We start from the raw sequence: 23,075 nt of genomic DNA, 5'->3' as shown, positions 1-23,075 counted from the left end.
ACAGTGTTTATCAAAGTCTACAGTAATGTAATGTCCTAGGCCTTCAGATTCACTCACTGACTCACCCAGAGTAACTTCCAGTCCTGAAAGCTCCTTTCATGTGTAAGTGGCCTACATGTGTGTACCACTGTTTATCTTTTGTACTGTATTTTTACTGTGCCTTTTCTATGTTTCTGTATGTTTAGATGCATAAATGCCATTGTGTTCCAATTGCCTACAGTATTCAACGAACCTGCTGTACAGGTTTGTAGCACAGAAGCAACAGGGTATACCATCTGGCCTACGTATGTAGTAGGCTATACTTTGTATAAGTACACTCTATGATGTACGCCTGATGATGAAATCGCCAAATGACACACTTCTTAGAATGTATCCCTGTCATTAAGCAATGCATGACTGTATATATACAACTGCGGAGAAACTGTCCAACCAGTTGTTAAACAATCCTATTTTTAAAGACTTCATGTCAGTCTTTAGTACTGTATTCCAATATTATCCTTGCTTAGGAAAATAAGCTTGATTTTGATTATCCATATTAATGTCCTCCTTTGTCAGCACAAATATTCAAAATGTGGCAATACTCAAACCTCTTTACTCATAGTTTATCTATGTGATTTTCATTTACCATGTAAATTACAACGCAGTGTAAATGCTGGACCTGCTTCTTCTCTCTTGATGAGCCCCAAAATGGTATTTGGAGGCCAAAGGCCATGGCCGATTTGGCCCCTTCCCCTTACCTCTGAAATCCCAATGACCTCTGCTGAAAAGACTAATGACTTTACCCCTTCCCTTGTCTGCCCAACAGGTAAAGCATAAGACTGCATGATTAACTGGCAACACGGGTCATCCGTAGACCAGTTACCGGTTAGAAAATACAACTCACAACTCCCTGCTGTTCAAAATATTCTAAAAGCTCAACTGATAATAGGTGATATGATGTCTATATATCCCCTAGATCAGAGTTCCAATGGGGCAGTTTGGCCTGCATTGTGTCTTAGTAAACCAGTCCAGAGTTTTTTTTTGGAATGTGAATCAGAATGCTGTTTTGGTGCAGCACACATTCTCCAGGTAGCTAAGACTCCCTCTCCACCCCATTCATATGCAGTCTGTCCTCTATATCTGTGGGTTCCACATCCATGGATTTGACCAATTGTCAATGGAAAATATTCATGGAAAAAAAACAGATGGTTGTGTCTGTATTGAACATACACAGGCTTATTTTTCTTGTCATTATTCCCTAAATACAGTATAACAACTATTTACATAGCAATTACATTGCTCTGATACCACAGAGCTAGGGAAAGGGGGAGGTACTAACCAAGTTAAAACACCACAGCTCACTGTTTTTATTATGATTCAGTCATTTCTCTTGAAAGAACACTCTTAGAATTACTGTAAGCCTTTGGTTAATTTCCAGAGTTCTGAAAAAGTTAATTTTGGTAATTCTTGGCAGTGTTCTTATTGCTTTCATGGAGGAGCAAATTTCTGGAGGCCCTTACTCTGCCATCTCAGAAGTCCATCTTAATAAAAATTTAAAAGTTTATATGTATATTTTGTTATAGGAAAATATGATAGGATGATCAATAAAATACTTCTAAGCAGGACAATACCCTGTCTTAGGATCAAATTCTGAGTACAAACTGAATGGAAATAAAGAAAAGAATGTAAAATTTCTATTATTTTTTTAGGCCGGGTGCGGTGGCTCCCACCTGTAATCCCAGCACTTTGGGAGGCTGAGGCGGGAGGATCACCTGAGGTCAGGAGTGACCAGCCTGACCAACATGGCGAAACCTCGTCTCTACTAAAAATACAAAAATTAGATGGGCATGGTGGCACGTGCCTGTAATCCCAGCTACTCGTGAGGCTGAGGCAGAAAAATCACTTGAACCTGGAAGGCGGAGACCGCAGTGAGCCGAGATCGCGCCACTGCACTCCAGCCTGGGCGACGAGAGCAAAACTCCCTCTCAAAAAAAAAAAAAAATTACATTATTTTTTAAATGGATGATAATGGTTACCAAGTTACTACGATAATTAGGATTCTGTTTGCATAAATTACAATGTTTACAATGAACTGGAAACTGTATCCTCAGCATCTATTTAAGTCTTTAGAAAACTGGGTGTGACAACTTAAAAATTTACAAGAACCCTGTTTTTTTTCTAATTCTCTTAGGAGATACACAGCAAAAAAAAGTTTGATTGATTAATACCTTCAGATCGGCATTCTGAAAACTTGACTATGATCACATCATACACACATTCAGAAACCTCAGAAACTCAGACTAATGCTCCAAGTTCTTGGGTCATGTTCAAGGAGCTCCTGTAATTAGGCCCCAGCCTTGCTTTTCCATCTGATCACCAGCTAGGGTAAAGTCTCTGCTTCAGCCTTGGCCCATTCCTGTGGCTGTAACATGGAAATTAGGTAAGACACAGGAGTGGACAAAGAAGCTAACTGCAGCCCACTGATGCTCCACACTGTGCCTCAAATTCACAGGGTGTTTAGGAATCATTTCCTATATACTACTATGTACCCACAAAAATTAAAAATAAAAAGAAATTTAAAGAATCATTTCCTGATTAACCGGCAAGTATTATTTAAATGAAAACTCAAAAGGTTTTAATATAAATTTCCTCAAATATTTTTAAGACCTTTTTTCTACTAAAAATAAAGACACTAAGCACTACACATAAAGGAAGGCTAGTACTTACAAAAATATTTTGTCAACTTGTTTTAATTAGTATAGGAGCTACAATGAGATCACTTAAGCTTATCTGTCTTAACCTTTGATGTAATTTAACCTCCCCTTATGTTATTTTAGTGTGTGAACCTGCTCCAAAGTGAGTAGCAAATTGAGCACAAGGCAATTACATTCAGTTAAACATGTTTTTCTTTGCTTACAGTAGGATTTAAACGAAAAGCTTTTACTCAGGCAAACCACTCTGTCAAAATAAACATGGAAGCTACACACACACACACACACACACACACATCCAATGCTTCAATACAGTTTACAACTTGGGTTTTTAACATTCTCTTAATATATTTAGTCTGTTCTCCTAGACCCACCCTTTTCTTACTTTGAAATTAAAACCCACAAGTCTACCCAGCCTCAAATTCAAACTAAATAAAAAACTCTAGGTTTCTATTTTACCTGTTATTTCCATTCTGGCTCTGACGCTCTGATCTCAGTAAGAAATCACATCAATAATGACTATAAAGTAGAAGATTCATATTTTCCTTGTCTAATAGAAGACACGTCAAGACCCAAAAGAATACGGACCCAGAATATGCCTGGTTTAGGCTGAACATCAGGATGAAGATAATAGTGTCATAGTTTATCCTAAATGTTTCTTAAAAGTATCAAAGTTTCACAGAATAGAAATAGGACAATCACTTTAGTCCAGATTCCACATACTCTTTCTGAGCACAGGAAGGCTCCTTTGGTGATGTGCCCAAGGCCATTCAGCTAGTAAGTGGCCTTCTCTCTTGTATTTCCACCCATACTGCACACAGGACAATTGAGAGCACAGAGCCAGCTTATATGGAGAGGCTGTGACCCCACAGCTTTGCGTAACCAGATTGTAGTATGTAGTTCTACAATTGAGAATAGTGTCTTATTCAAAATGTTCAATCCTCATATTAATCCTTAGAGTACTTAAAAAGTAGGTAAGAAAGTAATGGCAAAAATCGCAAATTACTTTTGCACCAACCTAAGTGACCACGTTAAAAAAGTACTTAAACTCAATTACAGTATAAAGGTTTCCTGACCCCAATCTTTGCACTCCTTAAAAATAATGACAAGAAAGTCAATCTGCTCTAGTTAATAGAATTGCTAAACTCAAAAGAGGAGGATTTTCCTTTGAAAGAATGTAAAGAAACACCATTCTCTCAGTATGGAGAATATCAAATTAAGTAGCAGAAAAAGCACGGCCGGAAGAAACAGAAGTTCAGCCTGCCTTGCCTGCATTCTGTTTAGTTAAACGGATTGAGTTAACACACCAACTCCCAAGATGATTTTAAGACTACTGTATTTAAATCAATAAAATCTCAGCACGATGTAGCTAAATTCACTTCTTTACCCTATCCATACCCTAAAATAAATGAAATCTTTACACTCTTTTGTTTTCCACAGGCCTTTTCTGCCCTGCTGAACTTTCTGAAATACACTCTTTCTGCTCCCTGCGTCCCTTCAAAATAACCTGGTAAAATGCTTTATAGTGATCACTCTGGCAGTCATTCCGCTAGGTTCTTGGGAGAAAAGACAAAGCTTTTGCCTGGGGCCACACTGCACGGCCTATTTCTGAAAAGCTGCATCAGCAACCAACAGGCAAGTTATAGAATCTGTTGCAACAAGGAAAAACTTGTCAAAGAAGAGGGCATGTCTAAGTCTTATCCATACCTCAGTAAAAATGAAAAAGTAGACTCAACAATCAGTCATGATTGTTGTGAACTAGCAGTTCACATATACTAACTTGAAGCAACTTGCTATAATATGATTTGATTTCAAGGGAGTATTTCATAAAATTTTCTAAGGAAAATTAAGTAAACTTAGAGTTACAGACTCCTATTGATAGTTTAAGCTAGTGATATTTTAATTAAATGTTCATTCCTTTTCCAATTACTAACTTTTGTGGAACACAGATATAATTTTATGGTATGACCATTCTCAAAGACTCAAAACTATTCATTTCAAACCAGAGGGGAAAAATAATATAACATTTGTGAAAAGAGTTACCAAAAAAATCTAAAACTTACTTTCTACTATTATAGAATTTGTTATATTACCTATGATTATATTCAACATATATATATATATTCTAAATGAATTCTAACTCATATGTCCAAAATTGATCAAGAAAAAAATATTTAAAATTAATTATTTAAAAATTACTCAAAGTCATCTTTTTTATCATCTATTTCTTTTTTTTTTTTTAGCCCCACTCTCACCCCCAAAGTCATCTTTAGATCACATATATCACAGAACATTAAAATATAAGTTGAGGAAAACTGATTTATTCCAAAGTCAAAAATTTCAAATCTGAATACCTCTCATGAATGAAGCTAACAGATTGTTTTTTGTCAGCCTAACCCCAAGAAATATAATGATTCCATATAAAATATTGATACATACACATGACCAGTATTTCATACCCACAGAAACTGTTTGAATAAAATCCACAATATAGTTTGGTAAATTCACAATTCTATAACCTAATTTAAAATGCAAAACCTAAAAGGGAAGTAAGGAAACCATGAAAGTCTGATGAACATTTCAAAATGCTTTTACAACAACATGCAAACTTCCACTCCATATGGCCCTAGAGGCAGGTAAAGAGGAGAAAGCAGAAAAGCCTGAAGTGAATCAAAATATAAACTATGTGAGGCATAATTACAAATCCAGATGCACACTGTAAATCATGCAGCACAACAGGCCAAAAACAAGGCTCTGCTGATCAAATGGTTAAAATCTAAGTGGACTCTGCTGTTATAACAAAATCAGGAGAGCTCAGGGACAGGATTGATCCACAGATCACAACAAAAGAATCCCAAAGTCAGCTATGCTCACACTGGTGAAAGAACCCTCCTCAAGGCTTCGGTTGCCTCAGTTTCTCCTCACTGTGGGGTCAGAAAGGCTGTTTGCAGTAGCTCCAGAAGGTCTCATTCAAAAAACTGGGCTTGCCCTGAGACCGGCAGGAGAATGAATACTACAGATTCTCTGGGCAAAATTTGCACAGCAAGAGCTCCCAGATCCAAACTTGCAGAGAAACGAAAGGCTCCCCCCAAAGCAGCAGAATACAGATTTGGAAGACCGGCATTCACTGCAAACTCCCTGGGGGAAAGCCAACATCTGCACTGGTTCTTCCAACAAATCAGTGTGTGCATTCATCACTGGTTGGGAAGCAGCCACACTGCACCACATTACAAACAGAGAACCAAAAACTCACCTAGAAAAAACTAAAAACCCCAAATCATGGCACAACGATTTGCTTTTCCAAACAGCTCTATGGTTTGAAAAAGAGCTCGTCACAAACAGTATCATGTCATGCTCACTTTCTGCAGATAAAACTTGGGCTTGGCAAGGTTTGGCAGCCTTGCAAAATGGCAGAGCCAGATCACCTATAACCTGTGTCTCCCAAATCTCACACTGTTTAGAACAGAAATGAGTTTGGAAACCTCTTCCAAATCACAGACATCTGAGAAGGCACAAAGGCTCCCTGGATCAGCATGATGCATGGTGTGTGAATAAACTCTTGGTTCAATCGAGTGCTATGTTCTCATTTTATTAATATACACATGTAATTTCAGTTCAAGTGCCAGAAGGAGAAAAATGAGAACTTTCTTATGATTCAGCATTTAAGTCTGTTATCATAAGCAACTTATGGGCAATTTAGCCTTAAGAGGCCTCAGTTTGCAGCCTGGTTCTTGAGAAGAGGCAATTACAAGTAAATAATGAGTCTTTATCTACAAGTGTCAAAGTCCTACATAGCTGGAAAAAAACTACAAGGGATTTTAGAAATGTGCAAGAAGAGACGGGTATTGAGCACTGGAGCTCAGCTATTGACTCGACAGCAGTGAGTGGCCAGAGACTCGGAGAGGAGGTAAGGGAGGGCAGCAGGAGTTGCAACCAATTTTTTTTTTTTGGAGACAGAGTCTCCCTCTAATGCCCAGGCTGGAGTTTAGAGGCATGATCTCAGCTCACTGCAACCTCTGCCTCCCAGGTTGAAGCGATTCTCCTGCCTCAGCCTCACGAGTAGCTGGGATAAGAGGCATGCGCCACCATGCCCAGCTAATGTTAGCATTTTTAGTAGTGACATGGGGTTTCACCATGTTGGCCAAGTTGGTCTCAAACTCTTGACCTCAAGTGATCTGCCTGCCTCAGCCTCCCAAAGTGCTGAGATTACAGGCGTAAGCCACCACACCTGGCGGGTTGCAACCAATTCTGAGAAACAGAGCCTTCCAAATTAAAAAGTAAACACAACCTCATAAATGTAATAGCATTACTGTGCACTGGTATACAAATGAACTCAAAGTTGCTAACTTTATGCCATGCCCAAACTGCTTTGCCTACAAGTAATTTCACAACTTTCCTCACACTCCCTTACCTTTACCTTTATTTCTATGTGGATGTTAATGTAATCATACAAAACTGTAAAATTTCTAACCAGCAAAGACAACCATAAATAAGGCTGAAAGGCAAACAATAAATTAGGGAAAGCGTATGTCAAAAAGTACCCTGAATACGCAAACACTTTGTGAAAATCAGTAAGAACACAAATACCCTATTAGTAAAATGGACAAAAATCACAAACAAGAAAAAAATACAAATGATCAATATAAATATAAAAAGATATTCACTGATGATCCAAAAAATGCAAATATTATGACAATGAGATGTGATTTTTCATCTATCTGATTGGCAAAGATGAAAATGGTAATCGAAATTTACATTACAGAGTGCGAAGGAACTGCACCACCACTGATGGTGTAAACTGGCAAACCTCGTCTGTAGGAGCAGTTTGGCAATATGTATCAAACCAGTGATCCTACTGCTAGGACTTTACCCTAAAGATAATCACATGCTAGTTATGAACTCTGGTCCATTAAGAACAGGAAGTGCCAGTTCAAATGTTCACAATCTCCCAAGCCAAGACCAGGAAGTCCTTCTGTGATAGAAGGATCAGATCAACATACGTGTACAATGTGTGAGTAAAGTGCTTCCTTGGGTCAAGTATTTTCTTGTTTTACAAATGTAATTTCAGTTCAAGTACCAGAATGACAAGCATTTTTTTTCTTTTTTTAGACAGCATCTCGTTCTGTCACCCAGGCTAGATGCAGCTCACTGCAAGCCTTTCCTCCTGGGCTCAAGCGATCCTCCCACCTCAGCCTCCCGAGTAGCTGGGACTACAGGCACACATCACCACATCCGGCTAATTTTTGTATTTTTGCAGAGGTGGGGTTTTGTCATGTTGCCCAGGCTGGTTTCGAACTCCTGGACTCAAGTGTTTCACCCACCTCAGCCTCCTAAAGTGCTGGGATTACAGGCATGAGCCACTACGCCCGACCCATAAGACCTTTTAAAAGTAATGTAAATGTCCTTATTCAGTATAAAAACCATATTGGTGTTTTTACACTGAATTTCAGTCCTCTCCTTTAAAAATCTGCATACAGTTTTTCATTATTTATGTACGTATGTGTGTGAGTCAAGATGGACCCAACATCAACAAGATTCCAACTATAAAGCATGGGGGTCAGGCACACTTCCCTACAGCCAAGCCTTTTCTGCAAGAAGGGAAGGCCATCTCTGAAGCTTAGTGTCCTCATACTCAAATGTAGACTGCAGACTGCAGGTGTCACACCTGACTCCTACTAAACACTCAAAAAGGGGAGCTGTGGCAACTTCACTTTTCCTGTCACTAGGAATGGCTGCTTCTCCTTTCCGTAAGTTCTACAGACCCAACACACCAATCACCCAGGAGTCTTGCCTAATTTGCTTCTGCACTACAGCACATCACCTTCACTACTAAAACTATATGCCTAACACAGTGGAACTGTATCATTACCGAGGTAAAGAAAGTCACTGTGACATGTAGGCACTGCCCAGTAAGAACGGATCCAAGGAGCTGGAAGCCATTTGGAAGAATTCTTTGAGCTTCCCTATGTTTTCAGGCATGTACACTTCTGCCTCCACCACAGCAGGCACTTATTTTTCAATGCCAGGCCCTCTTCATGGCTTCTGGCAGCACTGTTCTGGGCTCTCCGTGTCTGTTCACTGACACCTATCACCAGCCATCTCAGGCTCCCGCTCTCAGATTACAGATTGTACCCGCTGCCAATCAAAAATAGCCAGAACTTGATTCTGTACATTTCTGTTTCGACTTCTGCCTACTGAGCTGTGTTAGGCATAACAACTAGTGTGTTACCTTAATAAGAAGTTGTGTTATACTAAATATTACACTGAAATAAGCATCACACTCAGGAGTGCTCATTTATAAAGCGAAAACAAAGCCTGTGACTCAGTTTCAACATTAGTGTCCAAAGACTCTACTGAGATGACTTTATAACTTGAAGGGACATGATCTAAAGTATAATCAAACCTATGCTTACCCCTAGAGAAAAATATACATTTTCAATGTGGCAAGTAGCTGCTTAACTTACCGGAGCAATTTGATACCTTACTAACTTTTGTCTGAATTCATCCTCTTGATCACGTGTTATGAAGGAATAAATCTTAAGGCATTCTATTTTTAATGAATTTCCAATAAAATGAAATAAAAAGAAATGTGAATTGTGACACCTGGACCATCTTTTCCTATCCGACTATCTGTAATTGTTCTTGGTAGGGGAGGGGAGGTAATATGATTTGAGTGGCAATATATTGTGAGGGGGTCCAGAATATGCCACTGTGGCATAAAAATTAAAGAGCTGAAAGTGATTAAGTTCCTGAAATCTCTTACTGGCCTAAAAGCAGAGGCTCTCAAAAAGAATTCAATTAACATAAATCCCCTCCCCAAGAGCAACCAAGGAAGAGCGACTCATCACCAGAGATGAAAAGTCTTCACACCACACCAAGCTGATATTACCACCAAACTATCGCATCTTTCATCTATTCTCCTAAACGCCCACTTATCTTTCCAAAAAGTCCTTTGTTTTCCCATAAGTTCCCTTTTCTCCCCTCCCCTTCCCCTATTAAAATAACATACAAGCCCCTACTTCTAACCATTCCTTTGGCTCACATTCTTCTATGATTAAATGTCTTTTATCTTGCAATCTGTCTCTTGTCAATTTAATTTGCAGACCCTCAATCACTAAGCCTAAGAGAGTAGAGAAAGTTTTTCCTCCTTGACTATTTAAATCTATGAAATACACTATATTACGTGTATATATGAGAACAATGCTAACTTTCTCATTAAATGCTATCTAAGCAATTATATGACTACATTGAACACTTCATCTTCCTTTTTCCTCACTTTTCTTTAAGCTTCCTCTTAGTATCTTTCTTGTTTCTCACTCTTAGACTTTTCAAGTATTATCCTCATCTGTACAATTTAGCAAAAGTAATTTGTCTGAAAAATTGTAACATTTTAAAGTATTAGAAATGCTACTGACTTTTTGCTAGTTTATAAAAAGCTCTCAAGTACAATTAAGCTAAAACATCCTGTTGATTAAATAAAGCAAGTTGCTATTTCGCTAACCACTGAAAACTGGAAGCTTTCTGAAATATACAAAATTAAAACACACAGTCACTCTGTACAAAATAGCATTTCCCCTCACCAGAGTTTATTGTTTTAAAAACTGGTAAGATGTTGACAAAAATAAAATGACAAACCAAGATAATTAGTACAACTTGGCACAGAGATATACACTTTCTACCTAGGTACGAAAAATAAACCATAGGGACAAGCCCCTGCCTCTAGAGAAAATCTTACTTGCTCAAATGGTCCCAATCCCTCCCACTGGCATCTAGTTCTCTGATGTTAACCTCAATTAGTAACCTCACATGGCTCAGAAAGCACTGGGCTGCTGCTGCCCACAATTAAGATAGGCTTTCCATACAGCAGTCTTGGATCCTGCAACACTGTCATCCTGGGCAGAAAAGCAGCATGTGCCATGTGCCCTCTGCTTCATTGAAAAACCACAATTGAGGGTCCATGGCAGGCTCCACCTCCAATCCTTTATTAGTTATATTAAAAGATACTCATTCTGTTAAAATATATAATTTTACAAACTTGTCAACAACCTGTGATTACCCCCTTTTCAAATTCAGCTGACCATGTCCTTGTTTATAAACCTAGGTGGGCGGTTCTCCACTGGCTACAAACATCCAGCTTTGACTGTCTGACCCAGCCCCCTTTCCAGCCTCCAGTCCTACCACGGCACCTGACACCGGCTACATCAAACTCCTGGAGCAACCAGAACTCAAGGCCCTTTTTCACTTCCCTCTGTTTGGAACATCCTTCCTCTACCTTTAGAATTCACTGTCTCTCTTCCTGCAAGACTCAGCTCAAATGTCCCCTCCTCCAGGAAACATCATTTTCCCCACTGGCTATCCACAGTACATTATCATGGCTCCTGTTGTTTCCATGTCTCTCTGCCAGCTTCACAGTGAGCCCTTGATGGTATGGATTCTGATCCCCCCAAGTATAATTTAACATTGTACTTCTCAGTCATAGGAGATAGTAGGTGCATAATAAATATGTAGTAAATGGATGAGTATATAAACAATGAATTAGGATCTAATGAATGAGGATCTAATGAATGAATGAGGATCTAATGAATCCAGTAGTTGCCTGGAGAGAGGGAAGGATCCTGTGTTTAATTCTCAGTAACACTAAGCCCTGGCTGATCCCCCAAAGTACATCCTGGGCTCCTCACCTCCTTTCAGCTACACAACTCCACATACTCATTTGACTTCTCCATCTTCAAATCCAATACTTATATTTAACCCAATATTTTGCCACATATGCTCCTGCTCTTTCACAGCTGCCCTTGTTTAATACATGGAATAACTTACTTGCATTTCTTTCTTTCTTTTTTTTTTTTTTTTTTTGAGACAGAGTCTCGCTCTGTCACCAGACTGGAGTGCAGTGGCGCAATCTCGGCTCACTGCAATCTCCATCTCCTGGGTTCAAGCGATTCTCCTGCCTCAGCCTCCCGAGTAGCTGGGATTACAGGCACGTGCCACCACATCCAGCTAATTATTCTATTCTTAGTAGAGATGGGGTTTCACCATGTTGGCCAGGGTGGTCTCGATCTCCTGACCTTGTGATCTGCCTGCCTCAGCCTCCCAAAGTGCTGGGATTACAGGTGTGAGCCACCACGCCTGGCAGCGTTTATTTCTATATAAGGAAGATGTACCCATTTTTACATGTTGCTTTTTGTTTGCTTATTTTTAGCTAAATCATCTGATTTTTTCCCAGTAAACTATGATAAGAAAGAGAAGATGGGGGAAGAGTAGATAATCATTTTGAGTCAAAGCAGTGCTTGAATAAAAACTTGCACGGTACTATAGTCTTTTTCCACATTAATGTCTCTCAGTGTCTGTTCTTAACATCACAATGGCTTAACAAGTTTTTTAGTTGGATAAGGTTGAACAAACCACAAAATTTACAAAGCTGTTGTTGACAGGGCTCATATCTGCCAGGCCCTGTGCCAACGTCTTTCACATATACTGTTTTCCTTCAAAAAAACACCCTAAAGGATTGCATTTAGAAAACAGAGGCTGAGAAAGGTTAAATAACCTGCCCCAAAGTCACTCTGCTATAGCGTAAGTTATAGCACCTAGCTTTACACCCAAGCCTGAAGTACCCAGTCTTTTTTCACTAAAGCTTTAAAAACTCCAGATCTTACTTTGTAAGATTAGAATCATAATACAGACAGAATTTCAAAGGTCTATGCTTTCATCTTCACTAACTCTATCACCAGTTACTAAAATATCATCTACCATTATTACTTTTGTTTTTGAGACGGAGTCTCATTCTGTCGCCAGGCTGGAGTGCAATGGCGCGATCTCAGCTCACTGCAACCTCCGCCTCCTGGGTTCAAGTGATTCTCCTGCCTCAGCCTCCTGAGTAGCTGAGATTACAGGAGCCCGCCACCATGCCCAGCTAATTTTTGTATTTTTAGTAGAGAAACAGGGTTTCAGCATGTTGGTCAGGCTGGTCTTGAACTCCTGACCTCATGATCCGCCCGTCTCGGCCTCCAAAAGTGCTGGGATTACAGTCGTGAGCCACCATTGCCTGGCCACCATTACTACTTTTTAAAATCTCTGTTTTAAAAACAGAAATACATCCAGCCTTGGAAAGTCCCCCTATGTACGACAGCATCTGCTCCAAATTCCGGATGCAAATGGGGCCCTCCAGTTGCTGAGACATTTTGGAGAATTTGCTGAGCAATTCTCCAGCATGCCTTTAAAACAACCAGGGAATGATGAGACCATGGGGAAAAGCACTCTGACCACAGCAATGTCAAACTGGTACAACCTTTCAATAGGGCAATCTGTCAGCATGTATTAAAAGTCACGAGAATATGCATAATCCTTGGATATAGCAAGTCCACAGGAAGAATTTTTCCTAAGTACATGCTGTGGTTTGAATGTTTGTGTCCCTCCAAGATTCATGCTGAAACTTAATCCCCAGTGCAACAGTATTATGAGGTGGAGCCTTTAGAAGGTGTTTAGGCCATGGTCAGGTGCAGTGGCTCACACCTGTAATCCCAGCACTTTGGGAGGTCAAGGCGAGTGGATCACAAGGTCAAGAGATCGAGACCATCCTGACTAACGTGGTGAAACCCTGTCTCTACTAAAAATACAAAAAATTAGCCGGGTGTGGTGGCGGGTGCCTGTAGTCCCAGCTACTCGGGAGGCTGAGGCAGGAGAATGGCGTGAACCCAGGAGGTGGAGCTTGCAGTGAGACGAGATCACACCACTGCACTCCAGCCTGGGCGACAGAGCGACACTCCATGTCCAAAAAAAAAAAAAAAAAAAAAAAATTAGCTGGGCATGGTGGCATGTGCCTGTAGTCCCAGCTACTAGGGAGGCTGAGGCAGGAGAATCGCTTGAACCTGGGAGGTGGAGGATGCAGTGAGCTGAGATCAAGCCACTACACTCTAGCCTGGTGACATAGTGAGACTCTGTCTCAAAAAAAAAAAAAAAAAAGAAGGTGTTTAGGCCATGAGGGCTCTCATGAACGGGATTAGATCCCTCATAAAAGTGCTTGAAGGAACAAGTTCATCCCTTTCACCTTCTCTGCCATGTGAGGATGCTGTGATTCTCACCAACTACAGAATCTGCTGGCTGTGACCTTGGACTTCCCAGCTTCTAGAACTGTGAGAAATAAATTTCTATTGTTTATAAATTATCCACACTGAGGTATTTTGTTGTGGCAGCAGAAACAAATTAACACATGAAGTAATTAAGTGGACAAATGCCCAGAAATATATAAATAAGAACCTAAAGGTAAACAATAGTGGAATGATCAAATTTCCAAGGTGCAGACATATGATGATGCACCTGTATATTTACTGCTCTGCTAAAATGTCCACAAACTATTCTATGTGTAAAAATCAGATTATAAAATATATGATCTTCTTTTTGCAGAAACTATATATGTACTTTTAAAAGTTTTGTGAGAAAAAAAATTTAAGGCTGCAAGAACATATATCAAAATATTAATAATGTTGATCTCTTAAGTGGTGGAATTATGTGTTTAACCAGAAAGGCAAAGAAAGCTTCTTTTCTAAGATGCTTATTTCATTACTGGTAAAATAATAAAATAACACAATATTTTCAAATAAATAAAGCCCTTAAAAATGCCAAAGAGGGCCGGGCGCGCTGGCTCACGCCTGTAATCTCAGCACTTTGGGAGGCCGAGGTGGGCGGATCTCGATGTCAGGAGATCAAGACCATCCTGGCTAACACGGAGAAACCCTGTCTCTACTAAAAATACAAAAAATTAGCCGGGCATTGTGGCGGGTGCCTGTAGTCCCAGCTACTCCGGAGGCTGAGGTAGGAGAATAGTGTGAACCTGGGAGGTGGAGCTTGCAGTGAGCCGAGATAGTGCCACTGCACTCCAGCCTGGGTGACAGAGCGAGACTCCATCTCAAAAAACAAAAATGCCAAAGAGTTGCTGATCAAAATCAGTTAGGACAGATTTTTTTCTGTAAAGAATCTCTTCTGGTACCTTCAAGTTCTTTAAATTATTCATAGCTAAAAGCCTGAAGTAAACTCATAGGAGGATTAAGCTGCAAGAGATTTTCCCGTTTTATCTCCCGTTTTCAATTCTCCATGGAATGAAATATATTCTTGGACTTACAGGAAAATTGACATTGAAGGTTTAGTTTCTAGAACTTAAGGACAGATCACAGATCCTCTAACAAGTAAAGAATGAGAGAAAGACGAGACTGCGCATAGAGCACCATGAACGGCGCACAGAAGAGCTCTTCACTTTAATACACGAAGTGTACAGGAAGAATCTTTGATGCATGAGGCAATATTTTCTGCCAATCTCCACTAAAAAGGTGGATTTCAAAAGACAACATCCAAAGGCAAATAGTTCTTGAGACCCAAAAAACTGACTTCTAGATAAGGCAAGAAAATGTTTTCTAAGATTATAATGGTAACCTATATACCTTAGATCCTCAACAGATATTCCTTGATTTGAAAATAAACAGCAAGCAAACATTTTTCATTTTCCTACTGATGGATATAGGTAATTTAAATGTAGTAGGAATTAAAGTAAACATCTAAAAAGAAACTATTTAAAATATACTACAAACCTCGGTTATAAAAAGTGTCTTTAGTGGCCTAAATATGCAGCAAAATACAAATCCTGTGCATAGGGAACAGGTGGTACTCCAAAAAAAATCTACTTGTCAACAGATATATGGAATTCAGAATGCGTTTTCCCATGGAAACACTGTTATAATGGTGGTTAATTCCCAGTCTCCTCCACAAAGCCTATTTAGTTGTTAGTGAGAAATATTTATCCCACACCTGTGTTTTATGTGAATGGTACTGGTGGTCTAAATGAAGACATCCATAATGCTAGGGGAATAAGAATGGCTCTCCTTTCACTCAGAGCTGAAGCTTCTCAGCAGAGTCCCTCTCCATAAAGGGTTTCCAGGTAAAGAGATGCCACCCTCAAGGTCATGCTCTCTTCCTGGGGGGAGCCCAAGTCCAAATGACCAGTCAACTGGGAGTTGGGGGAGTGTGTAGAAGGCCCTGCCCCTATTATTTAAGGTGAGATAACTCAGAAAGGCCATCCCACCTCCAGAGCTCCCCCAAGAGAGGATCAACTGGGGTCTCTGTTACAGATGCATCACAGTTCAACTCCTGCTTCTGCCCAATCCTGCTTCCTTCCCTCCTCCACTAGGAATGATGCCAAGAGCACTCTCCAGTAACCTCCAGCACGTGTATCTCTGCTCAGGCTATTTCCAGGATCTAAGACAAACAGCTAATACTTCGTAAGCTGGTACTGTAAGTCAGACACTGTTCTAATCTATCTAATGTATGTAATCTATTTATTTTAAATATATTTAATAGATAGATACAGATATTTTACTACATCTGTATGGGTAGGTACTACAATCCATTTTACAAAGCAGAAACCAAGGCTCAGAGAAGTTAAATGACTTGCCCAAGGTCATTTGACAAGTAATTTGAGAAGCCAGGATTTGAATCTAGGTCCACCAAATGGAAAGCCAATCTCTATGCAAACGAACTCCATCTGCTAGAAACAGTTCCATGAATTAAGGCAGACTCTGCTGCCCACGGGTTCTAGAGGCAGTAAGGAATGAGTGGAGTGATGAACCATGGTCATCCAATAACAGGAATTTATAAAAGTACTTAAGATCCAGGCCCAATGAAAACTAGATATACTATGATCAAGGTTTCAAATATTTTTAGGCCTGATATAAAAATGTAGAGGCCTAATGGAACCAGAATGAAACTACGTATCTACCTTTTGATAACTAGATTCTAAATATAACCATTGGTAATCTTGTATACCTGCAATGAAAATGCAAATGGTATGTGCAGACAGATTACTATGTAGGAAAAAGATGGGGTGGTCTTTTACACCAATCCCTGAAAAATAAGCCTCATAAACTAGTATCTTAAAATTAGTATCTAATAAATGTCTTATTAGCGGTATGATATCCTAAGAATTAATATTAAACTTACTCAAGATGCACAACTGCAGCCAGTTCATCTTCTCCAACCACAACTATACCGCGGCTTCCCCAAGCTCTCCGTAACTAGTAATCTTCCTTTACAGAATAAGTATTTATTTATGCCCACTTGACAAACTGAACAACTAAAAGCTAATATTGCCCTGCTCTGGTGGCCGCACTGCCCAAGAGCTACAAGACACAAAACCATTCTATAAACTCCAAACAACTACAAATAAACACTATTAATTTTAAGCGAAGTCATTAAGTTTGCATGTTTGCAGATGTAGATAGCTGACTTGAACAGTGAAAAACTATTTACAAGTTTCAAAGAATATCAAGTACCTCCTTTCTTGTAATAATTACTTGATTTGTAATTTCTGTAATTACAAAATCTAATGTCACAGTTAAGTAAAAAATTGAAATACACTTAAAACTACTACCGATAATAACTTTAACATTAAAAATCCAAATATTGGTCCTTAGTTGATTTTGAGAATTTACGCATCTCTTGCCCCTTCCTCTTTAAAAATTCACCAGTAACGCCTCTCCCAAACCCCTACCTTATAAACTATAGCTTTAAATAACAAAGAAAAAAACAAAGAAAGAAAGAAAAGAAAAGAAAAAAGCATTTGATTTTGCACCCAGGAGTCCTCAGCATCCAAGTTCAGTTATCATCAACTGCAGAACTGAGGGGGGGTTCCTCACATTAAGGTGAATCATTCACGAAGACTTCACATCACTTCAGAAACAAGAATCAGGCATCATAAAATTTGGCTCACTCCTCTAATATAAGTTACATCCTCTGACCCTGACTATGGGAATGTTGGCCCATTCCTTTTTCTCCCCGCCTTTCACTTAATAAAATAAGCTCCTAATCAGAAACAGCTCTTCACATACACTGTGCTGCTAAATATACTTGAGTCTGCCACTTCAGAGAATAATAATAGGGGCCCCTTAACCAGTTTGTTATGTACAAACTAGGAGGTACAAGTAGCCTAAGAAAAAAATTTCCTCATGCCACCTTAAATTGGACTAATCTTTTGGAGCAAGAAAAAAAAGGAAACTGTGAACTTGAAGCTTCCACATAGGCCAAAAAAAAAAAAAAAAAGGAGCTGGTAGGGGGGTGGGCAGAGCAAACCAAAACCACCACCAGAACAGGAATGCAAGCTCCCTGAGGACCGGGATGTCTCGTCTTGATTACCGCTGGATCCCTTAGTATTGAACACGGTACTTGCAACACTGCAGGTAATCTTTTTTAAATGAATAAACGAAAGCTGTCATCATTGTTCATGCACTCTTTGTGAGAAACTTTAAGCTCATTATATATGTAACCTTTAAAATAACAAGAACTGGGAGCATAATAGGGAAGGGGCACTCTGAGCCTCTCAATAACACTAGGAGGGAGCCAGGGTAATTTTTTTTCAAGTTTACACATGAGGAAATTGAGGCTCTGGAAGACTGACCTTTCCAAGATGATGAAGCTCTAAATGGCTGAGCTAGGAGTCTGTCCTACCCAGAGTCTGAGCACCTTTCTCTCTGCCACATCAATACCAAAATGAAGGTTAAAGCCAGGAGAAAAACAAAAGAACATGAAGAACACAGGCTACCCAAAACTAGTATTCTGAAACATTCACAAACGGGGTAAGTTTGTTTCTGAAAATAAATAAATAAATCTTCCTATTTCAATATTGCAGAGACACAGCCAACGGGGCCTACAGTTCTAACAGGCGACATTCAGCCGCCTATGTTCAGAGCACTGTACGCTGCTTGTAAGAGCAGGTGCCCTGTTTAAAAAGTGCCTGATCTGGCTGGGCGTGGTGACTCACGCCTGTAATCTCAGCACTTTGGGAGGCCGAGACGGGCGGATCACGAGGTCAGGAGTTCGAGACCAGCCTGACCAATATGGTGAAACCCTGTCTCTACTAAAAATAACAAAAATTAGCCGGGCGTGGTGGCGGGCGCCTGTAATCCCAGCTACTCGGGAGGCTGAGGCAGGAGAATCGCTTCAGACCGGAAGACGGTGGTTGCAGTGAGCCGAGATTGCGCCACTACGCTCCAGCCTGGGCGAAATTGCAAACTCCGTCTAAAAAAAAAAAAACAAAACAAAAAAGTGCCTGATCTACATAAAGAATGGCTTCAAAAGCTGACGCTATAAATTAAAAGCCAGATATAACAATTCAAATCTCCCTTCATTAAAATACCTACGTTGTCTTCCTGGAAAAAGTGCCTGACTAGAGGAATTCAAAGAACTGTCCAAATAAGTAAGTGTTTGCCCAGCACCTTATAACGAAAACCATGGCTCTGTAATGAGAACAGAAATCCTGTCACATCTGGGCCAGTTCCTAAGTGTCCCCTCAAAAGGAACATTCAGGCACTACCTAAGATTATGAGGCTTCCTTCTGAAAATGTTAAGCACAATGACATAGAGAATGATTTTTCTTTTCTTTCTTTTCTTTTTTTTTTTTTTTTTTTAACTCCGGGCTGAGAACGGAAGTCAAGTTCAGATTCTCTTCCTTCCTCAAGCAAGCCAAAAAATTAAAGAGCAAACACAGAGGCCCTAAATGTCTCGAGGCCTCTTCACCTGTGGCGATCGACGCAGCAAGCCTGGGTGTGCTAAGAATTGAGGCTCTCTCTCCTTCATTCCGGGGGTTACGGGTGGCCTTGGAGCACCGGGAAGAATTAACCGGTGCCTAAGTTTTCAATCGGATCATTCTTCTCAACTTGGGCGGCTCTTTCCTCCCTTCCTTCCTCCCTTCGGCCCGGCACACACGGCGGGGCAGTGCCAGCGCGGGCAGCAGGCTGGGCCCGAGGGCAGCGCTGCCGCAGCCGGGAGCCCCTCAGAGTGTGGGGCGCGGGCTGCCCCCCGCGCGGACACCGGGCAGGGGCCGCAGATCTGTCCCCGCCGCCAGGCGTGGGGACCGCGAAGGGGCAGCCGCGGCGGGGCGGAGGGGCGGGGTGAGCACTTCCTGACTCTCGCATTGTCCACGCACCGCCCGCGCCACCCAGGGCCCCGCCACCGCGCCGTCCCCGTCGGGGAGGAAGTTGGCGCTCGCCCCGCCAGCCCCGTCTTACCGTTTTTGGCATCGCCCGCGGCCGCAGCCCCCGCGGCGGCCGCAGCGTTCGCGGCGCCAGTCCCCGCGCCTCCGGCGCCCGCCGCGCCTCCGGCGCCCGGCGCGCCCGCCGCCGCCGCCCCGCAACCGGCCGCCGCCGCCAGGGCCCCCCCGGCCGCCGCTCCCGCCGCGCCCGCCGCTGCCAGGGCCCCGGCTCCATTTTCCTGCTCGTCGCCGCTGCTGTTGGCGCGCTTGTTTTTGCGGCCGCCTTTGCTGTTTTTGGGGTTGGGCATCTCGCTCGCTCGCGTCCAGGTAGGTGCCCGGCGTCAGCGAAGGCGGATCCCAGAGGCACGGCCGTTCCCGGCCCTGCGTGAAGCCGGCTCCGGGAAAGAACGGAGGGCGCGAGCCGGCGGTTCCCTCGGCTCCCGTCTAGCCGCACGGCCCGTGCCGCGCCATCCTGGCCGCCGCGCCCTCTCCGGCTTCCTGGAGCCGGCACGCGGCCACCCGAGGCTCGCAGCCGCGCGGGCGCCGCGGGCCCGGGGCGCAAGCGAGACGCTCCCGAGCCGGAGGGAAAAGGCGGGTCTCCGGCTTGTTTTGATTCGGCTGCACTGACACGCTCTGGGCCCGCCCCCTCCCGTGACGACACTGGGGATTCGGCCTGGCCGCGCCCACCAGGTGACCTCACGGCTGACGGGACCGCCCGCGTGACGTCACGCCCCGCGCGGGGCCTGCCCACCTCGAGTGACGTCATCCAGGCGTCCCCACCCGGGCCTCCTGGACTCCCGGGCGTTCATGAGCTGCCCTGCTTGACTTGCTCCACCCGCCAGTGCAGTGGCATGTGGAGTTCTTCGGTGGCCTCCTGGCCTTAATGTAATTGAGGCTTAGAACAGTATGGTCTGGAAAAATAAGCTGTGACTAGAGCAAGAATGGAAAACAAAAGATTTTGGATTAATAACTCATTCAAAGGCTATGCCTTTCAGTAACAGTAATTAAAGAAACAGGGGACCGGGCGCGGTGGCTTATGCCTGTAATCCCAGCACTTTGGGAGGCCGAGGCGGGTGTATCACGAGGTCAAGAGATCGAGACCATCCTGGCCAACGTGGTGAAACCCTGTCTCTACTAAAAATACAAAAAAAAATTAGCTGGGCGTGGTGGCGTGCGCCTGTAGTCCCAGAAACTCGGGAAGCTGAGGCAGGAGAATCACTTGAACCTGGGATCCGAGATCGCGCCACTGCACTCCAGCTTGAGCAACAGAGCGAGACTCTGTCTCAAAAAAAAAAAAAAAAAAAGAAAAGAAAGAAAGAAACAGGGTAGAGTTCCCAGACAATGGGGATGAACACCAGGGTCCTGAATGGGAAGCCTTCACAGTCTGGTGGTGAAAACAATTCACTCAAACAAGACCCATCATCCAGGGATGTAACTAGATGTTGCCTGGACTCTGAAGCAGTCCCTGCTTGGGGGGAACCCATCCCTATGCATAGGGCTGAGTTGTCCTGAAAGATAGTGAAAGATAGGTAGCCAGGTTATGAGCAGTAGGAGATTAGGTGACACCAGTGAAGACAGGCAATATGAGGGCAGGGGACCCCTGGGAAGAGCTCCCCTTGATCTCTTTCTGCAATTCTATTCTACCTTTTCGGCCAACTCCTTCCCTTCCTTCAGGTCTCAGCTCAAATACATCACTTCCACAGAGACCTTCCCAGGAGAGCTGTCAGAAGTTCCACCCTGTTATTTTCCTCCTCCATCTCTAATTATGTTGGCAATGTAGGTGTTTACTTATTTCTTGTATATCTCCCTCTCACTGAAATGAAACCTCCATGGATAGATTTTATCTGCCTTGGGCACATCAGAGAACAGCTGGCATAAATTTGTTGAATGTATAAATTAGGTTCCTTCCTCACGAACTGTGGAGGAAAGACTAGTTTAGCTGACAGCTTTACAGTGTTCCCCTTTTATAGTGTAATCTTTAATTCAGCCCTTTAGTAAAAGCTCTGTCACGGTGTTGTTGTTACCATTAGAGGGTCTTGACTGCAAGTCGTCCAAGTTCTTGGCATTTTGAACAAACAATTGGACCAAACGCCCAGCAAAGCAAGGAAAGAAGAAAGCAGGGATTTATTGAGAATGAAAGTACACTCCACAGTATGGAAGCGGCCCCAGCGGTGGCTCAAGGTTCCGGATGCAGAATCTTCTGAGGTCCAAATACCCCCTGGAGGTTTCTCATGTAAATGAAGTGGTGACGCACAATTAGTCTGATTGGTTGCTTTCGTCAACCAATCAGAGGCTGAAGTGGAGTTAACAAAGGTCACACTTCTGTGCAATCACACTTTTTGCACACTTCTGTTTAAAAAGCAACCAATCAGAGGCTAAGGTGAAGTTACAAAGTTGCACTTCTATGCAAAGACTCCACCCGCAATCAGTCTCATTGGTTGCTGACAGCCAGTTTCCCATCTGCCACGCAGAAAAGGTGAGGGTTTGCAAAGGGAGCAGCTTCTGGTCCTTTTGTTACTCAGGTGTGGAAAGTTAGGGTTTTCCTTTCAATTTAGTTTAGGAAGTGGGGTGAAACGCCCTTAGGTTCCCTGCCTCCAGACTCTGTTCTCTGCCTCATTGTGAACTATACAGATAGACAGGAAAGTACAAGAAACAATACTCTCCCCCACATTCAGGTAATGGAGAGGAGATTCTGATTGCGAGCTCTGGGCAACCATAGCAGAATGCATAACAGAGCCTGGAACGGCAAGAAGGAGCAAGCACTGGATACTCAGGGGAAATTGCTGGTTGGACTCTTTAGTAGAAAAAAAAAGTTGAAATTTTAAATTCCCTAATATGTATTAGAGGATAGTGACCCTTTAGAAGGCCCTATTGATAGATAGATATTTTGTGCTTATATTTTCATGTCTATTTCTCCCCAACCTTGAAATCCCCTAGGTGCTAAGAGAGCAGGGATTGTGCCTAGCTTTCTAACGCTACAGAGTCTGGCATAAACCTTGACCCACAGTAAGTATTCAATAAAAATTTGTTGCATGGAAGATACCTAAAGCACTCTTCTTCTGGCTACATTATTCTGAACCTTAAAGTCTCAGCTAAATCATCAATTCTCTAGGAAATCTGTGACAACCCAAAACTAGACTTGTCCCCAGATACTCCCTGCACCTTCCTCACCATAGCAGCTTACACACTGGGATATTGCTTTGGTGGCCACTTGGACACCAAAAATGAGGGGTGAAAGAGAGAGTGAAGTCAAGAAATTCTGAAAATCAGAAGAAATGATGAAGGTAGTTAATTAAAGGGAGACTTCCCGGGGAGGGCAGTGGGTCCGTGGAGGAAGATAATGAATTACTGTTGCCCATTCAGACTTAGCTTAA

At 42.2% G+C, this 23,075-nt stretch overlaps 1 protein-coding gene across 1 annotated transcript in view, besides 6 other annotated features; it reads right to left on the bottom strand.

Annotated features, from left to right (window-relative positions):
- Positions 1 to 20,326, bottom strand: part of HECA (hdc homolog, cell cycle regulator) — a 45,723-nt gene extending 25,397 nt beyond the window's left edge. Inside the window, exon 1 of the mRNA NM_016217.3 lies at positions 19,739 to 20,326. Coding sequence (NP_057301.1) covers positions 19,739 to 20,009 — 271 coding nt within the window. The 5' untranslated portion in view covers positions 20,010 to 20,326. The remainder of the gene's footprint in view (positions 1 to 19,738) is intronic.
- Positions 19,255 to 19,374: an enhancer, noted in NCBI's record as "active region_25166". NCBI's record gives its function as "activates an Ori minimal core promoter by ATAC-STARR-seq in GM12878 lymphoblastoid cells {active_cell/tissue: GM12878}" and the evidence as "EXISTENCE:reporter gene assay evidence [ECO:0000049][PMID:35858748]".
- Positions 19,485 to 19,754: a silencer, noted in NCBI's record as "silent region_17607". NCBI's record gives its function as "represses an Ori minimal core promoter by ATAC-STARR-seq in GM12878 lymphoblastoid cells {active_cell/tissue: GM12878}" and the evidence as "EXISTENCE:reporter gene assay evidence [ECO:0000049][PMID:35858748]".
- Positions 20,155 to 20,234: a silencer, noted in NCBI's record as "silent region_17606". NCBI's record gives its function as "represses an Ori minimal core promoter by ATAC-STARR-seq in GM12878 lymphoblastoid cells {active_cell/tissue: GM12878}" and the evidence as "EXISTENCE:reporter gene assay evidence [ECO:0000049][PMID:35858748]".
- Positions 20,240 to 20,534: an enhancer, noted in NCBI's record as "tiled region #4168; HepG2 Activating DNase unmatched - State 4:PromP, and K562 Activating DNase matched - State 4:PromP". NCBI's record gives its function as "activates a minimal TATA promoter and a strong SV40 promoter by Sharpr-MPRA in HepG2 and K562 cells {active_cell/tissue: HepG2 | K562}" and the evidence as "EXISTENCE:reporter gene assay evidence [ECO:0000049][PMID:27701403]".
- Positions 20,345 to 20,534: a silencer, noted in NCBI's record as "silent region_17605". NCBI's record gives its function as "represses an Ori minimal core promoter by ATAC-STARR-seq in GM12878 lymphoblastoid cells {active_cell/tissue: GM12878}" and the evidence as "EXISTENCE:reporter gene assay evidence [ECO:0000049][PMID:35858748]".
- Positions 21,813 to 21,862: an enhancer, noted in NCBI's record as "active region_25165". NCBI's record gives its function as "activates an Ori minimal core promoter by ATAC-STARR-seq in GM12878 lymphoblastoid cells {active_cell/tissue: GM12878}" and the evidence as "EXISTENCE:reporter gene assay evidence [ECO:0000049][PMID:35858748]".

This window comes from Homo sapiens, chromosome 6 (assembly GCF_000001405.40).
Source record: "Homo sapiens chromosome 6, GRCh38.p14 Primary Assembly".
NCBI classification, from domain to species: Eukaryota; Metazoa; Chordata; class Mammalia; order Primates; family Hominidae; genus Homo; species Homo sapiens.
This window is presented reverse-complemented; position numbering and strand designations above follow the sequence as displayed.